The 15,169-nt window shown below is 38.8% G+C and overlaps 1 pseudogene; it reads right to left on the bottom strand.

The window, feature by feature from the left end:
* PNLIPP1 (pancreatic lipase pseudogene 1) lies at window positions 950-5,454 on the bottom strand (annotated as a pseudogene).

Here is a 15,169-nt window from a genome sequence, read left to right as displayed (position 1 = left end):
CATTGCTAATGAGCCTAACCCTCATTGGCCAGGTGTTGTGGCCCCCTTCGGTAATTCCTATGCAAAGTAAATGATTTTCATGTTTCTCTTTCACAGTTATAATGAGAAAGGGAAATTAATTGAATTTCAGAACTGGTGGAAGGAGCTCTACTTTGAGATTTTACTATGTAGAGTGAACCCCTGATGGACATGGGGAGTTGTTACCCAGAGATGATGAAGCAAGTATTTGGATTTGAAACTAATAATGAAGGCAATTACTTAAGCACATTCAAATATAACATTTTCTGTATTTTTGGTTATCAGTTTATTATCATTGTGCTTCTCTTCAAGACACAAAAACAAAAAGCTAGTTTAATTTTGAGGTTGACATTGTCATGTCAACTTGGTTATAACTGGTAAAATTAAAACAAACACTCATGGAATTTATTAGAAATAACCTACCTAGTTGCTTGAATCAAAACAAACAAACAAGCAGCACTAGTTTATTGACCCAACAAAGCTTATTGATGATGCCCAAAGCTAGATTTTTTTTGCTGTTTTCTTTTTTTTTTTTCTCAGACGGAGTCTCTCATGACGGGATCTCGGCTCACTGCAAGCTCTGCCTCCAGGGTTCACACCATTCTCCTGCCTCAGCCTCCTGAGTAGCTGGGACTACAGGCGTCCGCCACGGCGCCGGCTAATTTTTTGTGTATTTAGTAGAGACGGGGTTTCACTGTGTTAGCCAGGACGGTCTTGATCTCCTGACCTCGTGATCCTCCCGTCTTGGCGTCCCAAAGTGCTGGGATTACAGGTGTGAGCCACCGCGCCCAGCCTGCAGTTTTCTTTCAAATAAGGGGAAAGAGAAATTGCTGAAAATGGCTTTGTCATTAATCATACCTATGGATTTTTTTTTGAAAGAAAATTCAGAGAGCAATGTGTATGGGTTTTTGTACAACCTGAGGATACTTACTTGAAGAACATCAACAAAATATGCCACTTCTGCTTCCACAATCTGGATGTTCTGCGAGGCTTGTGTGTATGCAGCTTGGGAGCCACTCTTCCAGTCCGCACAGACACAGTTCACACTTCCCACCTGGAACAGATTCTGGTAAAAAAGACAATAAATAGATATATAACTTAGGATCTTTATTAATTACTAGTTAACACATTTGCAGACTAGGATAAATTCTCTTCTTGGCCTACACAATATCATTTTAACCCCAATGCAATTGACAAGACTTCTAGTCTTTTACGGCTATGGAATCCCTCTTAAAGTTTAACATTGGCTCTAAGCTAGAGGTTTGACCACAATGGGAACCGGAATCTTTGGATTTCTACTGTAATAGATACATAGACATTTACTTCAAAAAATGTACAAAATGTGGTATGATGGGTTGTTCCTTAGGTCATTTTAAATGTCACAAGACATTGTCCCTTACTAGGATGCAACTAAGGACATTGCTTGCCTTGTTCACTGCTATATCCAATTCTTATAACAGATTCTTGCACACAGTAGGTGCTCAGTAAATACTTACTGAATGAATAAAATATTACTTTAGGTTCTCTTATATAAACATATTGAAGGTAAGGAAATAAGCTTTTCCATGATTGAAAGACTAAGCAAAGCTTTTGGATGAATGTATTTTATTGTACATCACTGAAGAGTTATTTCAATAGAAAATATAACCTACTAGATATCTACTGGAAGACTTGTTTAATGAGGGTCAGTTATGGTTTCATGAATGTTTGTTTGGGCAGGAGCTTTGTTTATTTGGCTATGTGTTTATACATATCCTCATTTTTTTCTAAAAATAATTTGGAAATGATAAAGCAATCTTGGAAATGATCTCCAACTTTTTCATTTTACAGCAGGAAATATCCAAAGCAAGGAAATGATTGTCTTGAATCCAGTTTGGCTACTCTTGAATGGCAACATAAAAGTGTGCTTAGGGCACAGCACTTCTGATATCCTGAACTGAGTTTGATTTTACTAATATCATGGTTGGCTGAGGAGAGAATCAGGACGGGGATCTAGGACCTTTATTCTTCTAGTTTAATCTCCTTGTTTCTTCATCTAAATACAACAGTGTTGTCAAAGCTAAACCAAATACAAGAAAAACACAACTGCTTTTGGGATCTCAGAAATAAATTGTATTCACTAAGAAAACTATATTCCTTTTGAGCTAAGAATCACATTTCATTTTTCGCTATTGTATAAATATCTATTACTACCTCCAGTAATCATCAGCTTTAAATTATTTTGGAAGACAAATTGTGGTTTTACTGCTTGTGTTTAAACTTGCAAAATGTATGGACTCTAAGGTGCTCATCTGTCTTCAGGATCAATGGATATGCTCTGGAGTTGACTCATTCTGCCCTTGGTTTGAGCCATAGGCAGACCTGAAATTGTATGGGCTTAGGAGGACCTTTGTGTCTTTCTTCTCGACACCTGAAGAAAGGACTTCTCCCTTTGTGCCACAGTAGGTCAAAGAAATGTGATGAATACATGAATAAACACTTGAATAAATGAATCAATAACAATGTTCCTCAAGCACTAGCAGTTACTAAGAAAATTTATTCTATTTGATTGTCTTTCTTTTCATTCTTTATAACAGGCACATAGCCAAAGGCAAATTAAAGAAAATGGGATCACTGCTGTTGAAACAACAGACGCCAAAAATGAAAACCTACACAGTTTCCCAAGTTATCACTATCAGAGGAGATCGAAGAGTAGCAAGTGAAAATCAAGAAAAAGATTTTGTTCAGCCAAGATGAGATCTCTTAGAGCATCACATGAAAATTGAAAAGTAATGAAAGAGAGCCTGGTGCAATGGCTCCGGCCTGTAATCCTAGCTATGGGAGAATAACCCTTCAGACCAGGAGTTCAAGACAAGCTGGGGCAACATAGGAAAGCCTGTCTTAAAAAAAGAATTTTTTTTTTTTAATTAAGCAGTCATGGTGGTGTGCACCTGTAGTCCCAACTACTTGGGAGGCTGAGGTTGGAGGATCCCTTGAGCTCAGGAGTTTGAGGCTTCAGTGAGCTTTGATTGTGGCACTGCACTCCAGCCTGTGCATGAGAGCGAGACTCTGTGTCTTTATTTTATTTTTATTATTTATTTATTTTTTGAGACGGAGTCCAGCTCTGTTGCCCAGGCTGGAGGGCAGTGGCACAATCTCAGCTTGCAACCTCCGCTTCCCAGGTTCAAGCGATTCTCCTGCCTCAGCCTCCCGCATAGCTGGGATCACAGGCATGCACCACGACGCCTAGCTAATTTTTATATTTTTAGTAGAGACGGGGTTTCACCGTGTTGGTCAGGCTGGTCTCGAACTCCTGACCTTGTGATCCACCCACCTTGGCCTCCCAATGCGTTGGGATTACAGGCATGAGCCACTGCGTTTGGCCAATTTTTTTTTTTATTTTTTTATTTTTTGAGACTGAGTTTCGCTCTTGTTGCCCAGGCTGGAGTGCAATGGCGCTATCTCAGCTCATTTCAACCTCCGCCGCCTGGGTTCAAACGATTCTCCTGCCTCACCCTCCCCAGTAGCTGGGATTACAGGCATGCGCCACTAAGCTCAGCTAATTTTTTTTTTTTTTTTTGAGGCAGAGTCTCGCTCTGTCGCCCAGGCTGGAGTGCAATGGCGCTATCTCGGCTCACTGCAAGCTCTGCCTCCTGGGTTCATGCCATTCTCCTGCCTCAGCCTCCCGAGTAGCTGGGACTACAGGCGCCCACCACCACTCCTGGCTAATTTTTTTTTTGTATTTTTAGTAGAGACGGGGTTTCACCGTGCTAGCCAGGCTGGTCTTGATCTCCTGACCTCGTGATCCACCCGCCTTGGCCTCCCAAAGTGTTGGGATTACAGGCATGAGCCACCGCGCCTGGCCAATTTTTGTATTTTTTAAGTAGAGATGGGGTTTCTCCATATTGGTCAGGCTGGTCTCGAACTCCCAACCTCAGGTGATCCGCCCACCTTGGCCTCCCAAAGTGCTGGGATTACAGGCATGAACCACTGTGCCTGGCCGACCCTGTGTCAAAAAAAAAAAAAAAAAAAAAAAAAGCAGTGAAAAACGGGCCTGGGACATGCCGTAATGCTTCAATATGGTAGGAACTTTTGCTGAAATTTTGAAACATCTCTGTATTAGTTATTAAACAACCACTGCCTGGACCCAGGAAATGCCTGATAGTTGATGGATCTGCAATGAGTTCCTGTTTAGGCAGAAAAGCGTTTCATGTCAGTTTCTTATAGTAGCCAGTAGAGCCATTCGTACATGGAGGGAGGCGGTAAGTAGAAGACTACTAGGATTCAGGATCCTTCTGAATAATGATTCTCCCATTACAACCACGCTATTCTCAATCATCACTATGTTGCTATTTCCTGGTCATCACAACATGTTTGCAATTGTTCAACTTGGGATAATGTATCTGTTATAATCTTGGTGGTAAGGATCTTCTCTTCACACAATGGAAGGCTTGGTGCGTTTGTGTGTATGTGTGCGTGTATCTATATATATCTGTACTCTACCCATCTAATATAGAGATATATATATAATTGGGAGATTATATGAACATATGATGTTGGGAATTTTTACTATGTATAGAGTAAAAATATATATAAATCTCCTCATATTTAGAATACTTGTTAAATGGTACCATGAAGGTAGAACAAAAATAATATGAAGTTGAAGAACTTTTAATAAAAAGTTACATAAAATAACAGTTCAGATCACTGCCCTAAAAGTGTCTATGGATGCAATTCCGTTGTCTGATTTGTTCTCTTTAGAATATGTGTATATTCAACATTCTTTTTTTTAAATTTTATTATTATTATACTTTAAGTTTTAGGGTACATGTGCACAATGTGCAGGTTTGTTACATGTGTATACATGTGCCATGTTGGTGTGCTGCACCCATTAACTCGTCATTTAGCATTAGGTATACCTCCTAATGCTATCCCTCCCCCTTCCCCTCACCCCACAACAGTCCCCGGAGTGTGATGTTCCCCTTCCTGTGTCCAAGTGTTCTCATTGTTCAATTCCCACCTATGAGTGAGAACATGCGGTGTTTGGTTTTTTGTCCTTGCGATAGTTTGCTGAGAACGATGGTTTCCAGTTTCATCCATGTCCCTACAAAGGACATGAACTCATCATTTTTTATGGCTGCATAGTATTCTATGGTGTATATGTGCCACATTTTCTTAATCTAGTCTATTGTTGTTGGACATTTGGGTTGTTTCCAAGTCTTTGCTATTGTGAATAGTGCCACAATATACATAAATCAGATGGAACTTTGTCCTGAAAACAATAAGCATTCATACCTGGAAGTCATTTAGGTTCCCATTGGTGTACAAAAGGAAACAGGTATTGACACCTTATGGAGCCGAGGGCAATATTTTGAGAGGTCTTTCCATAATTCCTGATCACGGGGCATCATTGCTGAAGCAGCCGAGTCTTGGGTAACAGACTTCTGTTCCTGCAATCTCCTAGATGTGTTTCAAGGATATTAGTTTAACCAGAACACTCTTTTTAATAGCCTCTCTGCCAAAATGTGAGTTAATTTACATTTTGTGGCAGATTTTCCTCCTCTGTTTCCCCAAACACCCTCTTAGCCAAACGCTCACAGAAAATGCCACTGTTACATACAGGCTACTGTTCCTAAAATCTACCACATAAGACCACCTCACTTCCCTTGTGTCTCTGTCCAGTCCCATTCTGAGACTCCTTTTAGCCTCTAAACTCAAATGTTTTCTTTGGGCCTTTGGTACTTTGGGCTTTGGGCCAATATAACTCTGGGCTTTGAACGGAGAGCTTAAGTTTCATGGAAAGGCCACAAAACCCATGTATCTCCATCCTTGCTGTACTGAAGGTCATCTTCATTCCTGTGATGAAGAAGCTGTTCACAAACAACCAAACCGAAAGTCCATGGTTGAACACAACTCTAGGCTTGAATGTCACTCCATAAAGAAACAATCCAAAGAAGTGTTGTTCTCTTTCCTGAGTAGGATAAATCTAGATTAATGGTAGGAGTAAGAGTAGTTGCTGTTGTGGGGGCTGCTTTTCTCAAAATCTTACCATGTGCCAGGTGCTAGGCAAGATGGTTTGCTAATCTGACCTAATTCTCATAACACAGGAGAGGGGGGATCCTATTCTTTACATTTTACAGACAAAGATTCTGAAGCACAGAGGGGTTAATGATTTTGCTCAGGATAATAAAATTGTAGGTGGCAGAACCAGGGTTCAAACCCCTCACTTGACCCCAAGCTAAAGTGGCTAGATTTAACAACAACAATAAATAAATTAAAATTTAACTTGTATATATGTATTTGAATTTCAAATAAGCAATAACATGTTCAATATAAATATATCACATGTTTGTGGGAAACAGTTGCCATTTATCTGAAATGCAAATTTAACTAGGCATCTTAGATTTTATCTGACAACCCTACTCCAAGCACCTGTGCTGTTAGCCATGCATCTCCCTCTCTTGTCATCCACGTCATGCCTTGAATTCGGCTGCCATAGCCCTCTTGACTATTGAACAGTGAATCTTTTCCAACTCCATATTCATATTTTTTCTTACCTGTTACTGCTCCCAGCAGCACTGAAAGAGTCCAGAGTAGCAGCATCTACACAAAGTTAAAAACATGATTGAATCTAAGATTTTTTTTCTTTACAAGATTGGCATAATTCACGTTCATTTAGCCCTCTCTGGGAAAATGGGTAAATTCTGTTAAGTTAGGCCTGGAAAACATGTTCCTGACTCACTGTGGCAGTTCTGTCAGGTTCCACACACAACCAGACAGCAACGAAAGGTCCTTTTATAGGTAAAGCTTATCTTTTTGAGGAGTACCATGGAAAAGTGGCGTGCAAAGAGAGAAAGTTCCATGGATGTATTTCTAATTTTAATTGTGGGTAAGCCAAGGTTGATAGAGTAGGTAATGTTTTCCACAGTAGTTGTGGGAAGATGAGAAAGGCGGTAGATGTGTAATTATGTAATGCTAAGAATCACTATAATTTCATTGTAGTGAAGGTTCTAGTGTCCCTGCCCCTTTTTAGTTTACAATTCTCTGTGCAGGTCTGTGGGCATTGTTTTTACAGATGCAATGACAATAGTCTTATGAACAAATACCAAGAGCCTACCAGGTCATGCAGTTTCTGTATAACCTCGCTTTTTCCTCAAAAACAGCGAAATAAAAGCAATCCTTCAAGAGTTTATTCCTTCTAGAAAAGTAGTTGATATGTTATTTTGATAGTTTGTAGAACTAATTTATTTCTCAGCAGTATCATGGAGGAAAGAATAAACCAGCTGACAAAAGGAATTGGGGGAGTCCAGCCAAGAGCACAGAGGAGGAATCAGCGACCCCACCGTCTGATGGAGTTATCAATAAGAAAGGAAAATATGATTCAACTTGGAAAAAATGGTCTAGAAAAGATAATCTGAAAGGGAAACGTTTGATAGAAGGAACTAGGATGATTTTGTGATATATTGCTTCCAATAAATTTTTAAAAGACAACAAAATGATATTACAATTTACAAGACCAGAACCATTTAGCCTGACAATGTCATAGATACAGGTCGAATCACTGAAACTGCCATGTTTGTAGGTCAAAAGTGGTCAAAAATAATTTAGTTCCCTGCTCAGATACAGAGAAAAACAATAAAATTATTTGTGTACAAGGAAAGTTCAAGAAAGTTTGGCAAGGGAATTGTTAAAATAAAGAAAGAATGCATAAGAGACAAGGGAGGAATTCCAGTGAATAGGAACCATGGCAAATTCCTACACAATCCTTCATGTCTCAGCCCTGATTAGATTGGTAACTCTATTCCCTCAAAGACAGCCTTCTCTTTGAGCTTCCCTCCTTTGAGACCATCACCATCATTTGTGGGTCATAAACTCAGAGAAATTTGGAATTTTCTGGGCCTCATTGTGACATGTTAGCATCTTCCCCAGTGGTTGGTACATTGGCCCTCATCACATTCCTGTTGAATGGATAAACAAACAACTGAAGGAATGAATATGAAAAGCATAACTAAGAAGTTGGACAATCTAAATCAGGATAAATCCAATGAAAATCACACAAAGGCAAAAATAAGTTCAATGATAAAGAAAAAAAGTTATCAAAGTTTGACAGAGAGACCAAAAGATACATTACCTACAGGATAAAGAAGATAAGAATGACCTCAGACTTCTCAGTGGAGACAGAAGAAAATGGAATAGCTTATTTAAAGTGCTGAAAGTCATAGGTCTAAATGTAAAAAGTAAACCAAAACCTTCTAATAGAAAACATAAGAGAAAATCTTTGTTACCTTAGAGTAGACAAAGATTTCTTAAGCAGGACATAAAATTTACTCTATAAAAGTATGATAAACTGGGTTTTATGAACATTAAAACTCTAGTCTTCAAAACACATTGTTAAGGAAATAAAAGGCAAGATACAGACTGGGAAAAAGTGTCTGCAATAAACACATTAACAAAGGACTTGTATTCAGGCTATGGAAAGTACTCTCACAAGTTAATGAAACAAACAACCTAATAAAAGTAAGGCAAACATTTTAATCAATCACTTCACCCAAAAAATTTATGAATGGCCAATAAGCATGCAAACAGATGCTCAACATCTTTCGTCATCAGAGAAATGTACAATAAAATCACAAGGAAATACCATTATAGCCAAGTAAAATGGCAAAAACTGACAATACTAAAGATGTGGAACAATTGGAACTTTTTTCATAAACTGCTAGTGGGAGTATCAAATTTACAATCACTTTGGAAAACAATTTGGTAGTTTCCTATAAAATTAAAGAATCACTTACATATTCACCAGCAATTTCATACTTAGGTATTTGCCCGAGAGATATAAGCATGTGTCAACACAAAGACTTTTATGTGAATATTTGTAGCAGTTGCTATGGTTTGCATGTGTCCCCGAAAGTTTATGTGATGGAAATATAAATCCCCAATGCAACAGATGGAATCTTAGATAGGTGATTAGGTCATGAGAGCTCTGCCCTCATGAATAGATTAATGTCTTTATTGTGGGAGTAGGATTGTTATTTTGAGATTAGGTCTGTTATGAAAGCAAGTTCACCCATCTCTTTTGTCTTGCATGCTCTCTTGCCATGTGACGCACTCCACTGTGTTAAAATACAGCAAGAATGCCCTCATGAGATGCAGCCATTTGATCTTGAACTTTCCAGCCTACAGAACCATGGGCCAGATACATTTCTATTGTTTGTATATTACCCAGTTTGAGGTATTCTGTTATAGCAACACAAAATGGACTAAGATAGCAGCTTTATTCATAGTAGCCCCAAGATGGAAAAAATGCAAATGTGAACTGACTGATGAAGGGATAAAAAGCTATGCTATATTAATACAATAGACTACCACTCATATATAAAGAAAAGAACTATGAATAAATGCAGCCATATGGACGTATCTCAAGCATCTTAAACTAAATAAAAGAAACACAATAACAAAGTATGCATACCACATTATTATCCTTACATGATATTCTAGAACAGGCAAAACTAATCTATAATGACAGGGAGCAGGTCAGTGTCTGCCTGGGTTGGGGGTGAATTAGGGGAATGTTTTCAGGAAATAATGGAAATGTTTCATTGTACACATGGACATATACATTTTTCAAGAGTTTGATTGTATACATGGATATATACATTTTTCAAAACTCATTGAACCATACTCTTAAATTGGGTGCATTTTCTTGTGTGTAAAATGTACTTCAATAAAATTGAAAAAATTTTACATGCCAGGCCCATGCTAAGTGCTCAGAAACTATTCATTTAATTGAATTCTGTTAAGGGTGGCTGACAACTGGATGGTTCTGTCAATTCACTTCTCTTGATATTTTGATCCTGGTAATTCATTCATTCACTCATGCCTTGTTTCATTGTCAGTTGTATATCTTCTGCATGACTCCTAGTTGCTGTCAGAGGTCCTGTGAATAATTAAGACCCAGAACTCTTTCATGCTAGCAGCAGAAATGATGAGAATTGCCCAAATTCCAGATATATTTTGAAGACAGGACTGACAGGATTTGGATGGGAGTTGGGGAAATGGAGATGAGTTAAGGATGACTCCCAAATTTTGGCTTGAGCAACTGGAAAGGTGAAATTGCATTAACTAAGATGGGGAGGGCTGCATGTCAGTGGAGCAGGTTTGAGGGGGAGACCCAGAGTTCAGTTTTGGGCATGGTTAAAATGAAATGTCTTCTTAGAGTCTAAGTGGAGATGGAGAGTAGGCAGTTATTCTGTAGTTCAGAAGAGAGGTCCAGGTAATAAACATCAACTTGGGGTTCATCCATTTCACATAAAGCCATTAGTCTAGATGAGATGAGGTTCAAGTGCTAAACCCTAAGGCCCTACAATGTTACAAGCACAGGGAAATGAGGAAGACTTGAAAAGAAACAGCCAGTGAAGATGGAGGAGAACCAAGGGAAAGTGGTGTCCTGGAGACAAAGAGAAGAAAATGTTTCAAGGAGATGAGATGATCAATAGGCTCAGAGGTAAGAATGGAGTTGACTGTAACAATGGAGAAAATGAGTGAAAACAATGATTTGGCTAGGTGGAGGCTAAGAGAGATTTCTATTGAAGTTACAATTTTCACTCTGTCTTTCAACTTTCTCTTTCTTTCCCTTCCTTCCTTCCTTCCTTCCTTCCTTCCTTCCTTCCTTCCTTCCTTCCTTCCTTCCTTCCTTCCTTTCTTTCTTTCTTTCTTTCTTTCTTTCTTTCTTTCTTTCTTTCTTTCTTTCTTTCTTTCTTTCTTTCTTTCTTTCTTTCTTTCTTTCTTTCTTTTTTTTGAGACGGAGTCTCCTTCTGTCGCCCAGGCTGGAGTGCAGTGGTGCGATCTTGGCTCACTGCAAGCTCCGCCTCCTGCATACAACTCCAAGGTGCACGAAGCCAAAACACAATCAAGACATGCCAGTTTGTCTCCATCCTGGCTGCAAACCAGAGTCACCTGGGAGAAAAAAAAAAGAACAGACAAATCCCAGGCCCCACCCCAACCAATTAAAGGGTAATCATAAGCCACAGGCCCCTTTAAAAAGCCCACAGGTGATTCCCATGTGCAGCTAGGTGAGAGTCCGCCCTGATATAGGAGTATTTAACTCCCAGGGCTCCTGGGCAGACTCTCTCTGAGAAATTACTATGTGTTTCCATTTTGATGATAATCTATTTTTACCAGTTATAGAAATAAATCTTCCTTTTTGTTGTGATAATTTGTAGCAGAACTTTTGTTTCCTGAGCTGAGGCTTAATAGAATGAAGTCAGTAGGAATATTCCAGGGGGTCGTGAGAGGTTTCTTTTTTGAGATGGAGTTTTGCTCTTGTCGCCCAGGCTGGAGCGCAGTGGCGCGATCTTGGCTCACTGCAAGCTCCACCTCACAGGTTCACGCCATTCTCCTGTCTCAGCCTCCCAAGTAGCTGGGACTATAGGCACCTGCCAACACACCCGGCTAATTTTTTTTTGTATTTTTAGTGGAGACGGGGTTTCACCGTGTTAGCCAGGATGGTCTCTATCTCCTGACCTCGTGATCCGCCCGCCTCGGCCTCCCAAAGTGCTAGGATTACAGGTGTGAGCCACCGTGCCCGGCCTCTTTCAACATTTTATTAGGAACATGACGCATTTAGCTGACCACCCAGCCGTTATTCTCTGAGATTTAGAATTTTTTGCCACCTTTTATATCTTAACAGCCACACTTTTCCCTGATGCAAACACAGTTGGGGTTCTATCCGTGTAGATCCCAGCGCCTTGTTTTCTGTCTGTGTTATGGCTCACAAAACAACGTTCAATGAAAATTAAATGATCAAGTAGACAAAAAAATGAAATATATGAAGCACTCTTCCTTGTGCCTTGTGTGCCAGAAACCAATTCCAAGTCTGCACATGAATGGGGCCGTCCAATTGTAATGTGAGACATCTCTCCAGCACACTCCAGATAGTAAACAATATGCCAATGATGCTATGTAACATCTAAGGTAGTCATGTGATAAGGGAATTTGGCTGATAGCATACTTTTCGTTTTCTCCCCCAGTATAACAGGTATCATTATTATTTTGGCTTGTTTTTTAGGCTTCTGTGTGATAGTGTGATTTGCAACAGTTTTTACTACAAGAAATGTAATTTTGAATAATGACTGTAGCTGTGGGTTTATTTCTACCTTTAACTACAAAATTAATTGATTTCATCCTGGAAAGCATTATTTGTTGCTTGTTTTAGAAAAAGATCAATTATTTATCTGAGCATACAAAGATATTATTTGAAAATATTATGAAAACGTCAACATCATCAACTCTACTTAGGGCAAATATTCGTGACTAAAAGCAATGCAGAACAGGGAGTTGGGTACAGGATACTGTATAGGACAAATGATCTCAGATCTAGTATCAGCCAAGTTTAGTTGATCATTGTTGTGTATCCCATTAGCAACACCACATTTTCCACTTGTTTCAAGATATAAAGATTGATAGGGGGGAGTTTCATATGAGTCTTATCCACTGTTTCAGTTACAATCTTATTCTGAGATATTGTATTTGTGTTAGTATTTTCATTGCTGCTTTTTCACTTCAATGAACCACTTGAAGCCATTGATTTTTTTTCACAGCCCAAAATGAGAATATAACTTAACAGAATGAGAATAATATAAAATGCACATTTAACACATGAGAGTAAGCTACTACTTGCAAATGATGTGAAAATACATTCACCCACAAAAAATGTTTTCTTAGTGAAGGAAATGATGCTGAGGCAAAATGTCAGAGGGCCTCTGCATCACATATGACCACAATTCTTAAGAAAGGAAGGGAATTTCTGTGGAAATATTAATAGATTTTATAACCCAAATTTGTCAAAAGTGAGAGAAATATTTCTATTACATTCCTTACTAAAACTGAGAAACCACCTAGATTGATTACAAAAATGGTCCCAGTTCCCTGCTACTCTCCCTAGCAATGCCTTTTGCAATATGACTTTTAAGCTCCTCCCATTAAGAAATAGAGTCTATGTATTCATCTTTGAATTTGTGCTTACCTTGTGACTTGCTTTGTTCAATAGAATGTGGGGAAAATGATATTTTGCTACTTCTGAGCCTAGGCCTCAAGCAGTCTTCCTTGCTTATGCTCATTTTCTTGGTCCCTTGGGAGTTCAAGTTCAATAGCACAGGCTAGCATGCTGAAGGATGAGAGATCATGTGGAGGAAAGCCAATGCACACAGGCCCTACTAAACCATCCAGCCCTCTGCCAACCTACAAGCTGACCACCAATAAATACATGAGTGAGACCAAGCAAAATCAGCCAACCCTGCCCCAGATCAGGAGATCTGTCTGTTGGCCCACAGGACCATAATACATGATTATTGTTATTAAGTCACTGAGCTTTGGGGTGATGTGCTATGCAGTGCTAGCCAACTAATTCATCAGCTGTCTTCTATTAGGTGGATCACACTTCGAGAAACATCAAATAAGACAGAAAACTCCATGAGGGTAGGGATGATACCTATATTTTCAACTTTAGTTCTCTGATATTAGACTAGGGCTTGGCACATTGTCAACATTCTCTAAGCACTTCTTGAATTAACAAATTCATCAATTCTCTGCCATTGTCTCTACCACTATCTTACATCATGCATTCTGAACATTATCAGCATCCTTTCACAAATGTTCATCTCTTAGGGGAAGAAAAATTTGATTTAGGGTTCTAAAAGTAGTATTTCCAAAAAATTTATTGAGTTTAGAAATATAGAAATAATTTGAGTAAACCATTCATTTGAAATGATTAAACTAACTTGGAAACAGCTTCGTTATGATGAAAATGGATATCTTTCTTTACAAAAGATTTTTAACTGATTTTTAAAAATTAAACTCCTTTGTTCAATCTTATTAAATGAGTAAATTTGCACATAATCCTATTTCTTCATTGATTTTTATTATTCATTATTCATCATTATCATTAATGTTTAGGAAAGTTTCATGAGGTCCTCATGGTAATTACAATTATAAACATTCATTAAGCACTCACGTGATAAACATTGCATTATTCTCTTTACAGGGAAGTGCAGTGCTTAAAAATGACATCTATAGACTAAAGATGCCAAAGTTTATGTGTCTAACCTAGATTTCTGTCCTCACTTCTGTGCTTATATATCCAAATGCCAGCATGCCATGCCCAGTTGCATGCCTGATGAGCCTCTCAAATTTGACATGACTAAAACTGACCTTCTGACCTGCCTCTTCAAAATCGTGCCTCTCAAAGCATGTCCATTTCAGGCAATGGCAACTCCATCCTTCCAGTTGTAATGATGACCCATGAGTCATTCTTAACTCCCTTTTTCATTTAGATATCAATTCCTTCTCTATATAGTTCATGTACATTGAGGATGCTGGCCTTGTTCTTTGCCCAGGAGTGTTCACTGATTGACTTAAGACAATCAGCACATTCTACTCCCATGGTCAGGGGCCAATAAGAGTGAATCTCACAAGTTTTGTGAGAAAAAAATAGGAAAGAAGATGCACTTTCTCTCCTTGTTGAATGTGAAATAAATGTTTATAGCCTCAATTGTGGGAGATGGCCATTCTTCAACTGAGAAGGGAGCCAGACTTGGTATAGAACTAGCACCATAGATATCAGAAGATAGAAAAAGAAAGTGGCTTTTGAAGAGGTTATTGAGTGACTGGGTCATCAAAACCTGAAGCTTCCTCGACCTCTGAACTTTCCAATCATGTGAGCCAAACACTTCCTTGTTGTTAAAGCAACTTTGAATTGGAGCTTTTGATTCATGCAAGTGAAACATCCTAATTAATATAAACGGGTGGCCCTTTAACAAGTCTTTGTGTGTTGATTAACTTCATATATTTTGGTGAAATACAGAATAAATGGCATTTTCAATTTTTCATAGCCCTGTGCCTTTGGCTATGCTGTTCCTTGTCTCTGGAGTGCCCTTTCCACCATGTCCTCTTAGCAAATCCCTACTCAACTTTTAAGACCTAACACAAATATCCCTTTCTTTCTTAGGATGTATTGTTTAGACATGGCCTAATTTTAAGTACCTGACCCTAGTGGACTCATTCGTTGGTCCCATTAGTGGGAAAGTCATACAAAAAATACATATTTTCTCTTCTACTATATGCCAGGCATGTGCCAGGCACATACAATGGGAAAACTCCTTAAGGAGTTTAGAAA

Source organism: Homo sapiens, chromosome 10 (genome assembly GCF_000001405.40).
Source record: "Homo sapiens chromosome 10, GRCh38.p14 Primary Assembly".
Taxonomy (NCBI): Eukaryota; Metazoa; Chordata; class Mammalia; order Primates; family Hominidae; genus Homo; species Homo sapiens.
The sequence above is the reverse complement of the archived record's forward strand: the minus strand, read 5'-3'. Positions and strand labels throughout refer to the sequence as shown.